This window comes from Homo sapiens, chromosome 22 (genome assembly GCF_000001405.40).
Source record: "Homo sapiens chromosome 22, GRCh38.p14 Primary Assembly".
NCBI lineage: Eukaryota > Metazoa > Chordata > Mammalia > Primates > Hominidae > Homo > Homo sapiens.
In genome coordinates this window covers 27,174,909-27,189,760 of record NC_000022.11, presented here as the reverse complement: position 1 = coordinate 27,189,760, position 14,852 = coordinate 27,174,909, and the positions used below count along the sequence as shown (strand labels likewise).

Sequence of the window (14,852 nt, the reverse complement as noted above, 5' to 3'; positions counted from 1 at the left end):
TTCACAATGTTGCTGTGAATTTGAAACTGTTCTAAAAAATAGTCTATTAGAGAAATAGAAGCTCTATGGATTTATGCAACCATCAATAACTGTAACACCTTTCCCTGCCCAAAACCGTTCCATGGTTTCTCAGTGTCCTCACAACAAAGCCATGCTCCTTAGCCTGGTCTCCAGGGCCCTGTGAGGTCTGGCTCTGCTCTTCTCCCCATCACCCCTTACTCAGCACTTCTGAACATCTCTGAGTCCTGGGATAAATTCATTCTCATTCCAGAGTCTTCACTCAGGCTGTTCTCTCTAGAAGCATTTTTCCCCTCACTTCACCATCACTGTTTGCCAAAAATATTCGTATATGCTCATCAAGTCTTGGCTTAGGTGTCACCTCTTCCAGGTATCCTTCCCTGATTGCCCCTGACTGAATCAGGTGGTTTCCCTGGGCTTCCACAGCACACACACCCCACCCACTTTGCTTCCCACAATTTGACACTAATCACCCTCATGTATAACCATGTTCACGTCTCTCTCCCCTGAAATACTATCAGCCCAATGGGGTCCAATAATTTCTTTACTATTAAATCCTGAGTGTAAGCACAGGGCCTAGCACATAAGGAGTGGTCAAAAAATGTGGATTGAATGGATGACTGAACCCAGTGGCTTCCACAGCCTTTCAGTCCCTCCCCTCTTAAATCCTGTTTCTCTGCACACAAAAGTCTTGATGGTGGCTGAGGCATCCTGGCAGATAGCTGACTTCATTCTCATAGTAGTCTGCTTCAGACCTATTTCTCTGTTAGGTGAACAAGATCCTGCAGGTCCCTGATCAGCACTGCAGACTTCCTGAAGCTGCAACATCTCAAGAGTGGTGAGGTGGAGTCTGTTCCTGGGGGCATTCTGCCATGTCTCCTGTAAGATAGAAGGGCAAGGGTTATGTAGCTCATGTCAGGAGCTCCTCACTGTGCTATCATAGCAAGGCCCCCAGGTGAGCTGGCACAGGTGGTAGAATCAAGAGTGAAGAGGAGCAGAAACAGACATGAGCTAAAAGCCTGTCCTGCCCCTTGTTCCATATTCCAGGTGCTCTCCAAGTCCTTGGCGAGCTGTTTAGGTAGCAGGCTCTATAATGGCTTTCAAAGTAACGGGTGAGTATGGGCCATTTACTGGGGAAACTACATCCCATGTCTTCTATTTGGAAGAGTACCTTCTGATCGGGCCACGATATCTGCAGAAAGACTTACCTTTGGAAAGCTCTTTTGCTTCCACTCCCTCATTACAGCCTTTCTATGATTCTGCAAGTGGTACAGAAAGTAAGGCTCAGAAACTAGAATGGGTTTCCCTGATGCCACCCAATGTATCAGTCCAGGCTCCATGCAGGAAACAGAATCCAGCCTAGGTATCTTGAGCAGGAAGGGATTTAACACAGGGAATCCAGGGCATGTAAGACCACTGGAAGCAGAGAAGGAGCAAGTTCTAGGTTAAGTCTCCTAGAATAACTCCCAGAATACACAGAGCAGAGGCACTTGGACAGTTACTGCCAGACTTATGCCAGATGCAAGGCGCTGTTGTATTTCTAACACCACTGCCTCTTGATGTCTAGGATGTGGGAGAATGAAGTGAGGTCCCCGTTGCAGGAAAACCTCCAGTTACTACCACCACACTATTTGCCGATAGCAATAGCCACAAACTGCTAGAGGATGGACTCACATTAGCTTCCTAAATCTCACATCAATACCTCTCATTGGCAGGAACAAATCTGCATCCAGAAGCCTAGCTTCAAGAGAGTCTAGAAATATCCTGCTTAGGCCAGGTGCGGTGGCTCACGCCTGTAATCCCAGCATTTTGGGAGGCTGACGTGAGTGGATCACCTGAGGCCAGGAGTTCGTGATCAGCCTGACCAACATGGCGAAACCCCGTTTCTACTAAAAAAAAAAATACAGAAATTAGCCAGGCATCGTGGTGAGCACCTGTAATCCCAGCTACTAGGGAGGCTGAGGCTGGAGAATTGCTTGAACCTGGGAGGCGGAGGTTGCAGTGAGCCGAGATTGTGCCACTGCACTCTAGCTTGGGCGACAGAGAGAGACGTCATAAAAAAAAAAGAAAAAAGAAAAGAAAAAAAGAAAGGAAAGAAAGAAAGGAAGGAAGGAAAGAAGGAAAGAAAGAGATATCCTGCTTAACTTTGCTTCCTCTCCAGGCCAAAGAAGGTGGGATGGAAGTTCAGTGAAGCTGCACAGATGACCCAGCACTTAAGAAACTGAATTCCAGCTCTGCCACTCTCTAATTGTGTGGTTTTTGGCAAGTGACAAAAATATGATTTGCTTTCTTGTCACTATGACATGACAATGCCAGCAGCCATCTCCTAGCAGGGCTGAAAGGGTTAAATAAGATGATGCTTGCACAATGCTCAGTGCAGAGCCTGGAATACCATTAAGCCCTCAACACATGGTAGGCAGTGAGACCATTATTATTATCACAGTTTTAGAAAAGACTAGCTCCTCTCATCTCCCTACCGACACCACCACCACCAAAAAAAAAAAAAAAAAAAAAAAAATCAGGTTACACAATCACACGAAGTATTTTCCTACCACTTCTAAGAACAAGGACTCCTTGGAGAAATATAATTCAGATGCAGAATTCGTGAATTACCAGGGCTTTTCTTTAGCTTTTGGGAGACAATGGGAAAGAATACTGAAAACCAAATGTATTGAGGGGAAAGCTTAGTATACATTTAATGCCCCTCTGTGGGGCAGCTCCAAGAAGGGAGGAGAAAGAAAAAGAGGTTCTTGGTATTAGTTCTCCCAGAAGCAAACGAATGCCTCACTTTGCTTAGGACTACAGAGCATGTGAAGAAAATAGTGGAATATCTTCATCTCCATCCGGTGTTTTGGGAGGGTGGAGGAGAGTTATTAGTCTGTTCCTAGAAAGGCAACTGAGTCAGCAAAAAGAGGCGAGAAATCACAATCAGACAGCCCTGTGTGTCCCCGTCCCCACCCCAATACTCCCTTCTGGGATGCATGACCTTGGGCAGGTTGCGTTCTTCCTAGAACCTCTTCTTTCTCATCTGCAAAGTGGAGGTAATCTCTTCTCTTTGCTGGACGGCTATGAGGACACGAAGTCAGGCCATACACTGAGTGTTCTGTTTTCCTGCCCCTGCCCACGGGCCTGCCAAAAATCACTGGGATTTATGAGCTCAAGCCAACGGAGAATGTGTGTGATGGGGTGTCGATTCCAGGACAAAAGTCTGATCTGGGTATCTGTACCTCGTGGAAGCTGGAGCCTGCACCTATAGCAGCCAAGATGCCTTTTGTAAATTAGCCCACATTTCTTTTTTTCCAACAGGGCAGCGATGCAGGGAGAGTGAAGAGACTTGCTAGACAGAAAAGGCGGTAAGGGGACCCTTTCCTATCACGCTTTCAAAGGGTCAGGTATCGAGGCAGCTATTTGCAGGTAACAAGCATCCTCAGACATTGATGGAAGATAAAAGCCACTCATGGATGGTGGTGTGTCTGAATCGGAAGATGCCTCCCTATCCCTGCCACACTTTGCGTAAGTTGCTTTGGGTTTTGAGTTGGAGGTGCCCCTCCCACAAAAGTGGCCGAAGTGATTAAGGGGACATGATCGGCATCCTGGGGTCCTTGGCAGCAGGCACGACAGCTGGATGCCCATTTGAGCGCCTGAGGATGGTGGTCTGGAAGGACCCACAGGCACGGCGGGAAGGCTCGATTAGCCTACCTGGCAGCCGGACCCAGACCTGGCTGGCAGCAGCATATTGCTCACCGTCTGGCAAATAGACAGATTTTCACAAACCAGATTCCTCTTCACAGGCCTGGACCCTTCCTGTCCAACTGTTCCAGCATCTGTTTCTCTTAAAATGTATTTATTACACTGAGAGGAATAATAATGGGGCCAGGTCTGAGGCCCCGGAGGCAGTGGCTGTTTCTCCACCCAGGGCTTCCTTGGGAAGCATTTGTGTCAGGGAGAATGGAACAATGCTTAACCTGGGAAGACTGTGTCCTTGGTCACTGGAGTCGGAGAGAGACTGGACATTGGCCCAGGGTCTGAGGCTGAAGGAGAAATACTGGGGGTGGTGGTTGGGGGCTTGTTCTGGAGTCTACTTGTGGGCTGTGTGGCTTTGGACAACTTCCTGAACCTCTTGGAGCCTCAGTTTCCTTCTCTAATGAAATGGGGGTGAGGCTGCATGATCTCCAAGGTGATTTGTTTCTTGTTTTGCCTGTGAGTGATTTAAAAAGCTTATGCCTGTAGAATTCAGCCTTACCTGCACATCCAAGATTATGCATTCATTCATTCATTCATTCATTCATTCATTCATCCTTTCATTCATCAGATTGTTCAATGAGCAAATTACTGTCTACAAGACACTGGGGATGCAAATGGTGATTTAAAGAAAATGGGGAGTGAGGCCGCTGGAAGCATGTTTCCCACCACTCAGATAATGTGAATATGTGTACCAACACCAACGGCAGCTGGTGGCCATAGGCCTGGTTTACCATGTGTCAGGCATGGTGTTAAGCACCTTACAAACATCACCTCCTCTAATATTCCCAACAGCCCTGCAAGATATATATATATATATATATGTATGTATGTATGTATATATACGGTGTGTGTGTGTATATATATATGGTGTGTATATATATGTATATATATGGTGTGTATGTATATATATGATGTATATATAGATCTATATATACATCATATATATGGTGTATATATAGATATCAATACCTATATATCACCATATATATCATATATATACCTATATCATATATATACATATATATACACCTATATCATATATATCATATATATACACCTATATCATATATATGTCATATATATACATATATCATATATATCATATATATACACCTATATAGTGTGTATATAGATATTCCTTTGTCTCTATAGGTGATACTGGGGAAAATGGAAGCCCAGAGAGGCAAAGCAACTTATCCGAAGTCACACAGCAAATACACTGACAGGAAATGCCCTGGATGAGGATTTCACTGGTTGACTGACCATTTTGGGTTCCTATTTCAATGGCTTTGCAGCTTTTGAAGATTTGCTGCTGCCCGGATCCTATCTGATTTCTACAGTAGCTTTCTGGGGTTGCTGGAGAGGACGGTGAATCCCACGTGACTAGTGAGAAAGCTGAGGTCTAGGGATGGAAAGTGATTTCCTCAAGGTTACAAAGCAAGTCAGCAGCAGCACGATCTGTAAATACAAAACTGTAAACCTAAACCTCCCACCGTTTGTTATTCATCCTCTCACTTAACAGATACCCTATGTAGTTGATTCAAGTGTGCTTGTTTAGCTTTTAGTATCTCTGAAACAAGTTTCATCATACAATGCATGACATGCCATGTTTTAATTGGTAGATTTTTTTTCTTAGTGAAACATAAAATAATGGTGCGGTGGCAAGCAAAGGCCTATTGGATGGTATTTACTGAGCACCTATTATATGCCAGTGTTGGACATGGTTCCTGCTGCTCTCCTCATCCATGGAGCAGGTTCCTGGCAAGCTGGGATTCTTGGGAAGTCCTAGGAAGATGGATTTTAGGTGTCTTTTGGTTCCCTTTACCATGTTCATTGGCCAGCTCTGTTCAAGGAACGGGAGGTGCAGACAGATTCCACCTTGATGGTGGAGATTGGGGTTGGTAGTGACCATCACCAGCCTCTCAGGAGCTCTCATTCAGGAGCCTGAGAGCTGAGCCTCTGTTCAGTCTGTCCAGGTGCCCTGCTGTCCATCTCCAGTCAGACAGACACCTTCCCCAAGTCCCCTGGGCCCAGGGAGACTGGGCTGGGTCCCCGGCAGTCCTCACTGGGACTGTAGTGATGATGATCCTAGTGCTGTTGCTCTGAGCTTATGGGAACACTTGGGGTAGAATGAGTTTGTCAGCTCAGTCACTGCTGATTCCCAAGAGACAGGAGGAACCAGAGCAGCGGGTGCAAGTGGCTGCAGTCAAAACACAGTGATGGGTTAGTTTGCTCCGTGGAGGGGCAGGTGGGGGCATGCAGCTGGGACAGAGCAGCCGGTGCTGGGAGCTGAATGCCTGGCAGGGCTGGGCCATGCTAGGAAGATGAACGTGCCTGCTCTGCGAAGGCCTGCAGGGCTGGCAAAGAAAATTGAGTCATAGCATCAAGGTGTCTAGACATTTGGAGCAGGTATGGGTAATTTACCCCTTTGTGACAAGTCTGTTCCTTAGACAGAGGAGAAGCGCAGGCATCTTTGGAAAGAGGGCAGCCCAGGAAGGGATGTGGCAGGTCCTCCATATATGGACGCATCCCTTGGGAGGCAGGCAGTATCATGCAGCAGAGCCAGGCTGGAACTGGAAGAGAATTTAGAGACCACGCCCATCATGTTCCTACTTTTATGGATGACATATGGAGACCAGAGAGGATTGAACCACCAAGGTCACACAGCAAGTTTCATCACCAGCAAAGTGGGCATGAAACACCTCCTTTCTCCTGGTATAGTGTTTATAAAACCATGCCATCAGAATACACACACACACACACACAGAGTCACATATAGGCATACACATGCACAGATACACACATACACAGGCATACATAGACACAAACACACACACAGAGACACACGTACACGAAGTAGCTTTCCTATCATAGAAACACTTGAAGTAAGGGATTGCCAAGTTAAAAAAAATTCTGAAGATGTTTTATACTTACATTTACAAGGTTGTACATAGAAGAGTAGATCCAGGTGTGTCAAATGGTCTTAGGGAAAATAAAAGCTGTCATTGACTAAATTGGTAAACTCTCAGTTACATAAAGTTAAATTTTTATTTATCGCAGGGCTTATCAGAGCATTTAAAAGGATATTGTGCATTCCCAAGAAATGAGTGGGGAGGAGGACATATGGGTGAAAGGAGGCCAAAAATATTAGTTTCACCTCATTATTGTCTTTCTTAGAACTATTAAAGAAAAATGCATTGATTTGTAATGCTAGAATAGCAAAGAATAAAAATAAATATGTAAAGACTTAATGTCCATTCATTCATCCATCAATCCGTCTATCCAACTAACCACCTATCCATCCATCAATCTAATCATCCATGAATTAATCAAGCCAACCACTCATTCATCCATCTGTTCATCCAACCATCTAACCATTTGCCTGTCCAACCATTGCTCTATGCATCTATGCCTCCATCTGCCCATTCCAAATCCCATGCATCCACCTACCTACCTATCCACCTAACTTTTCATCCATCCATCCTCCAAAGATTGACTGACTACCTATTAAATGTCAAGTACTGTACTAGGACTAGCAGTCTGCCATGAGAAGGGGACAATGGGTGTAAAAAAACACTCCTTATTTAAGAAGGTACTTGCAATTTGGTGAAGGAGAGGAGAAAGGCAAATATGCTACAAATATATCTGCCTGTAGGTCCCTGTAGTGAAGGTGTAGAGTGTTAGGGTTGAGGCTGGAAGGCCCCAAGTAGAGGTCCTGTAACCTGCCCCAGGGAGTGTGGACATTATCCTTCAGGCTTGTTGCTTATGTTTAGGAACCTCAATGTCTTTAGTAAAAGGGGGTTCTTAACCATAATTATAGACCTAGGGAGAAGAAGCAGCCCTCATCCACCCACTTTTTATAGTCGCTATTTTGCATGTGTTTGCTTGTGATTTGCATGTGTTGCACTTGACAATCAGCGTCTCCACACTGGACTGTGGGCCGCTTTAGGGCAGGAACTTGAGTGTTTTTGCTCCTCAAAGCACCCTTTCAGGCTTAGCATGGAGCAGGACATGGCTTAAGCATTTGCTAAATGTCTGATAAAAGGCCCGCCAAATGGAAGAAGGAATAAAGGTCTCCCTTGTGGGCTTTTGAGAAGATGCAGAGGCAAGGGGACTTACAATGCATAGCCTGGCATGCAGTAGGTGCTCTAGGTATGTGAGTCTGCATCTTCCTGCCTGACCCTGCACTGACACCCAGCCTGGGAGTGACACGGGCCTGAGTTCTCCTTGGCAGCTGCCAAGGCTGCTCAATGGGGTCCTTTCTATCTGCTGTGGGGCCTTGGAGCCCATTCTGAGCTCCGGAAGCAGCTGCCCATGAATCAGCCCCATCAGCCTGACGACGACAAGGCCTCTTTGGATGGAAAGAGGATGGAAAGGCCTCTTTGGAGGAACTTCCCAGAATGAGCTAACTCAACAGTGGCCACATCAATCCAGAACAGATGGAAATTAAAAAGAGGCCCCTCCTAACGCAAAGTCAATTAACTTCTCTTTAATTTGGAGAGGTCGAGACCAAACTGGAGCCGTGATTTCACCCAGCACAAACAACCCCATGGGGTTCTCCATTTAAGAGCAGGTCCAGGCCACCCACGGCTTCAGTTGACCCAGCTCAGGTCCCTATCCCCAGGCCTGGGGGGAGTCTGAGAACCTGCCTGGGCAAACTCGTCTGCTGTGGAGCTTGGAGCCGTACTGAGGACAGGGGCGTGCTCAGTGCGTCTCAGGGGCTGCTTGCTGTCTTGGGGAGACTTGGCTGGGCCCATCTGAGCTGCAGCCAGGTGGGTAAGTGGGGGGACTCCAGAATCAGCCCATCTGAGTTGACAGACCAGCTTTACCACTTACTACCTAGGTGACCTGAGTATTCGCCAGCCTCCCAGGGGCCTCCATTTCCTCATCTGTGAAATGGGAACAATAACAGTACCTACCTCATGGAATGAGTGCATGGGTTAATAAACTGCTACCTTATTATTGTGGGCACAAAAATAGCTCCTACCTTGGAGGGTCATATGAAGATTAGGCGCGAACACTCATAAGGTCTAGCACAGGGCCCATCCCATAGTAGGTGCTCAAGAAATGCGGCTCTTATGAGCATCGCATCCTTTGTGCCTCCCTAAACTCTCACCCCATGAGGTTGTCCATTTTCCCCTGGGGTTAGGCTCTGACTTGCCCCATGTTTTTTTGCTCATCTCCCTCTGAAGCTCCCTACAGCTGCTTCTGCACCCATCATTATCACACTGAATCTCCAGTGTCCCACCCATTCATTGTGCTGCTTTACCCACCCCGGCCTTTAGACTGTGTCTTCTTCAAGAACAGCATCTTTGTCCTAGTCACGTTCCATCACCTTGCCATCTGGGAAATAGCTGTTGTCTTCGTAAGTGACAGACCCCACTCTGCGACTAACTGGCTGTGTGATTCTGGAGTGTCACTGTATCGCTCTGATTCTCAGCTTCTTGCCTACAATAGGGAAACAACATTAGCAAGCTCACAGGCTCACAGGAGGGCTTAATACAGAGATGGAGTTAAATTGCTTAGCCCATAATAGGACCTTAATAAATACTAGCTCATCTTTCTCCTATAACCTGTGTGACTTTTTGAGCAAGTTCTTTAAGCTCTCTGTGCCTCTCTGCAAAAGGTAGTTTACTCTCTGCAAAATGCAGATAACAGCAGTACCTACATCATCCTGTGCTTTGGGGATTCAATGAGTTAAAACATGTACAGCACTTGGAAGCAGGAACAGTATACAGTGAGTGATTCCTACATGTTATTTGTAGTGATAATAGTGAGATAATTCTTTCTTTTCTGCTCCTCTGTGGCTGTTTGTGGACTGAGTTAGAGCTAGGCCTATTGTCTGGCAGATGCTTGATCAATATTTGTGGGCTGACTCTATGGGAAACTCTTGAAATCCTCACCAGCAAAGCCTTTCTGCAGGTGTGCACTTCTGCTGGGGCCGGTCATTGGTGCTGCCTTGTCTTTAACGTTTAGAGACTCAGCAGCTTAATCGGAGATTAAGTCATGTCAACACTGAGTGCAAAGAACCGATAGGCAGAGGCTAATTCTAAATGTTGCAAGATGGACACAATTTAGTATAAGAGAAGGATGGAAAATGTATGTATGGGGAATGAGAGGGAAAGAGGGCTGACTTGTGACTTCAGAACAGAACCAGGGAAGACTGACTTCCTTCTTACCTTCCTTCCTTCCTTCAGCCAATATTATTAAGCATTGCTCTATTCCCAGCCTGGAGCTAGACTCCAGCAGGGGACAAAACATATATCCTGTACTTCCTGGACTTTGGATGTCCAGTGGAGGCAAAGAGGAACCCCAGAAGGCCTTAGAGCAGAGAGGATTGAGTTGAGATTTGGTATCTGTCATTTTTGAAACCCTGCTTGGAGGTCCTTCTTTCTTGGGGGGTCTCTCAACCGCAGGTTATCATGGTGAACAGAGTCCAAGAATCCTTCACTTGTTAGCAAAGCAGCCATGCTTATATCCCCACTCTGGGCCTGCACAGGAAGGATGGCCCTAACAAACTCCATTGCAAAGCAAGGTGTGATGGAAGCATGACCATTCAGACCATTGTCCTTGGCTGAGTAAGTGTGAGTTCACCCACATAATGCATAGGGCACCGTCATTAACACCAAGAATGAGAAGCACAGCTGTTGACATGGAAGCATGCCCATGGCATCCTATTAAGAGGAAAAGGCGAGTCTTCCTGAAGTATGCCAGGCCAATTCTGTTTACTGATAGCTCAAAAATAGACAAAAGTACCAGGAAGAGAGGTTGATTAATGGGTACAAATATACAATTTGATAGAAGAAATAAGACCTAGTGTTTGATAGATCGGTAGGGTGACTAGAGTTTACAACAATCTATCGTATATTTCAAAGTAGCTAAAAAGGAGTAATTCAAATGTTTCTAATATAAAGAAAAGACAAATATTTAAGGTGATGGATATCCATATTACATTGATTTGATCTTTACAAATTATATGAATATGTTAAATTATCACAAGTACCATGGAAATATGTACACCTATTATGTCTCAATAGAAAAAGAAAATTAAAATATTAAAAAAATAGACAAAAGTAAACAATATGTTGTTGAGGTTTACAAACATATAAATAAAATTACAAAGAACAGCAACAGCTGATAAATACTGAATTCAGGATGGTGGTTACTCTGTGGTAGAGAAGGAGGGAATGATGCCCAGGAGGGCACATGATGGTGTGAAAAGCCACCCACCTTTCTGGTCTTTTGCTTAAACTGGGTTTTGAATAAAAGGGATTCACTAATTGCTATTTTTACACCCTACCCACACAATAAGTATTCAAGTATTTCCACCCAATATTTAATTTTATTTCTTCAAAGAAAACTGATTGCAAGATCTTATTTGAGAAGGAAAAAAAACCAGTTTCAAAACAGGAATCCAGTGTGATTCTATTTTTCTTTCATCAGTTTAAACAAGTGAAATAACAGTATTCATTTTAACATGACCTAGGGCAAATCACCTCGCCTCTCTGGACTTCAGTTTCCTTGTCTATTAAATGGGAATAAAGAAATAAGAGAAAGCTTGTGATATGCTTAACGTGGTGCTTGGCAGATAATAAGTGCTTAATAAGTAAGCTGCCCCAAAGAGTTGCTACTTTGAGACTTTCAGCCAATGACCTCCTGCTCTCCCTCCAATTGATTAGCATTTGTTGCCATTGATCTAAGGATTCTTGGAACCGATCCACTTACCAAGCTGGCTGGATGAACCAATGTTCCTCATTCCTTCCATCATGGTGCAATTGCCCATGGCTCCAAAAGCACTCTTGGCCAGTGGCCATTCCGAGAAGAGTCTCACTCTGTTGCCCAGGCTGGAGTGTAGTGGCACAGTCTCAGCTCACTGCAACCTCTGCCCTCCAGGTTCAAGTGATTCTCGTGCCTCAGCCTCCTGAGTAGCTGGGATTACAGGCATGCACCACCATGCCCAGCTGAATTTTTTTTGTATTTTTAGTAGAGATGGGGTTTCACCATCTTAGCCAGGCTGGTCTTGAACTCCTGACCTCAAGTGATCCACCCGCTTCATCCTCCCAAAGTGCTGGGATTACAGGCGTAAGCCACCATGCCCAGCCTCCAGTGGCCACTCTTCACCTCACCTGGACGCATCTCCTTTTGCTAGTTCAGGTACCCACTCACCAGACGTCACTTCTGTTTGTTCCCAAAACTGCTTATTCCAGTTATACTCGCCAGCATAATAAGATCATTTAGTTAAACCTTAGAGAAACCAATGACTATGAGTGTGCAAGGAAAAGCTGTCATTTCCAGGAAAATTAAGTTCGCTTCTTGAAAAGTTTTTTAAAGGTGAGTTGTATAGTTTTTCTAAAGGCGAGTTGTATAGTTTTTTAAATGTGAGTTGTATGGTTCTATAGTTTTTTTTTAAAGGTGAGTTGCTTTTAAAAACTGTATGTATATAAAAGCAAAGCAAGAAAACTATGAGAGATAGATGAGGAGGATCCTAAAAGATGGAGAAAAATCCAGCATTCAGGTGGCTGTTTAAATGTTTTCTATTCTTGCTCCATTGAAAAGAAATCAAATCCAGGCATTGACAATGGGAAGTGAGGCATTGTGACTCTGGGTTTCCTTAAGGAAGATAAGCTAGAAGAGACCTCCAGGCAGAGAAGCTAAGTTCCAGCATAGAGCCTCTGCCTAACGTCAAAAGTTTGGTGAATAAATGTACACTCTATGCTTTAAGTAGAAATAGAATATTACTTTGTTTTACCCATCACCAAAGTTCAAAGACAAACTGAAAACTGGGGAAAAGCAAGAGCACTTCCCATCACAGACTGAAGGCTAATTTCTTAGTCTGTAAAGAGCTCTATTTACCAATCAATGAGAAAGAAAAACTTAGTTAATAGAAAGATAGTTAAAGGGACTAATAGATAGTTAACACAAAGAAAATACAAATCGTTCTGAAACATGAAAATAAAATGCTCAGCTTCACTTTTGAGAAAAGAAATGCAAAATAAACCTTTCTAGAGACACCATTTTTTTTTCACGGATGGGATTGGCAAAGATTCAAAAGTTCAAGAAGACTCAAAAGTTCAAGAAAATTCAAAAGTTCAAGAACCGGCTATGTTATTGAGGCTGTGCGCGGGCTCTCCTTTATTTTATTTCATTTATTTATTTTTAACTTTTATTTTAAGATACTTGGTGAGAGCAGGAGCTGGTGCAACTTTCCTGCAATTTGGCAAAAATTTCCTGCAATTGGCAACAGCTAACAAACATAACTTCTCATGTGTCTACCATGTGACCCACAATTCCACCTCCAGGAATCTATCCTGCAGACAATCTCCCACACAACAAAAATATCATATGGACAAGGGTTCTTATTGCTGAATTGGCTGAAATGGCCACATAAATAGGAAGCGACCTAAATATCCATCAACCATATGCTGGTGAAGGAAAGAATGGCCCCTCTATGTGTGGCATAACATGAGCGTGAAGTAGAATGAGGACGGTCTTCATGGACACGTTGGAAATAATCCCCGAGACGGATTGTTAAGCAAATGAGGCAAGATGCATGATTGCATGCCCAGTAATCTCTGCAAAAGAGAGAAATGCATAAATAAAATCGCTTGTATGTGCATAGTATATTTCAGGAAGACTTCTTAAAAACCTGTAGCATTGTTGCCTCTAGGAGGGGTGAAGACAAACTGGAGACTCTGTTTCCCTCCCTCCTGCCCACCTTCCCTTCTTTCCCTCTCCCTTCTTTCCTTCTCCCGTTCCTCTCTCTTTTTTCCTTCTTTATTTCCTTCTCTTCTTTCTTCTTCCCACCCTATGTCCTCTCCCACTTTCCCTCCTTCCCTTCCTTCTTTCTCTCTTTCTTTCCTTCCTCCTTTCCTCCCTCCCTTCCTTCCTTCCTTCTTTCCTTCCTTCCTTCCTTCCTTCTGCTTTTTTCCCTTTAGAATTCTGAACCATGTGACTGTATCACTGATTGATTAAAGAGTCAAATTTTAAATGAATAAAATATTCAACGTATGAATGTGTCACTTAAAAAAGATTCCTTGCTTTAAGTGACTTATGAGATAAAGTGACTTATGAGATAAAGTGACTTAACTTTTCCTTCTGATTTGGTTCTAATCCTAGACAACTAAGCTTCCACTCAACCTATTTGCTAATTTTTCTGTAATGAACATGTATTACTTCTGCAGTTATACACACGCACACACACACACACACACACACGTGTGTGTATATATCACAAACACACAAATAAAAATTTTTCAAAGCCCAAACAGACCTCCCTATGGCTGCCAGGGCCCTGCTCCCAGGTGAACAAGCAAGCTTTCTCTCCTGGAATCCGGTTTTCCCACCTTGCCCTGCTCGCTCTAACATGTGTTTGCGGGCGATAAAGGTGTGCTGTGTCGCTGCTGCTGCTTTTAATTAATTTCTGACATGAAAGCTCCCAGTCCCTTCTGCCTCAGAGACCTGCACACAAACTTGCCTCTCCCTTTCACAGGAAGCAGCTGCCCAAGTGTAGCCGAGTTTCCAAAAAAACAAGGAGTTGCTGGGGGGGAACCTCACACTTCTTTTTTTTTTTTTCCATTTGCACTGATTTGCATATTAATAGTTTGCATATTAACCAGCGACTTCAGAGGGTGGGCGGGCTAATGAATGCAGCAATCTCCTCAATTTTAACTCAATTTGCCTCATCCATATTCCAATGACTTTGGGGATTGGTGTTCAGCGTTCATTGAAATTATCCGAGGCAGACCCAGTGTGGGCTGCACTACCATTAATCCAATTAATTAGCCCCGTGGATACGGCCGCCTGGGCTAGGGCCCTTTGTTCAGTGCTGGGGGCTAATGACAGCCCCAATCTGATGGGATAATGAGGGGAGCGAAGGAGGGTTTGACCCCAAGTCTGGGTCCTGGGTGGTGTTTGGAGCAGGAGGGGAAGGTGGCTTTTGGGGAGGGGCTCAGATCACGGGGAGACAGCTGCTTTCCTTCCCTACTCCCTCATGCTCTCATTCAGTCACTCAAGTCTTGCCCTCACTCACTCCTTAGCGTGAGATGTCTCCCATTTACCCCTCCACACTCACTCTCCATCCCTCTTCTCCC

The 14,852-nt window shown here is 44.6% G+C and overlaps 1 long non-coding RNA gene across 1 annotated transcript; it reads right to left on the bottom strand.

Annotated features, from left to right (window-relative positions):
* Positions 1–545: 545 nt before the first annotated feature.
* LOC105372977 (uncharacterized) lies at positions 546–2,241 on the bottom strand. Its single transcript, NR_171770.1, has 3 exons — positions 2,164–2,241; positions 1,227–1,277; positions 546–897 (listed from the first exon to the last, which is right to left on the bottom strand). It is a non-coding gene; the product is annotated as an uncharacterized LOC105372977 (long non-coding RNA).
* Positions 2,242–14,852: the final 12,611 nt, after the last annotated feature.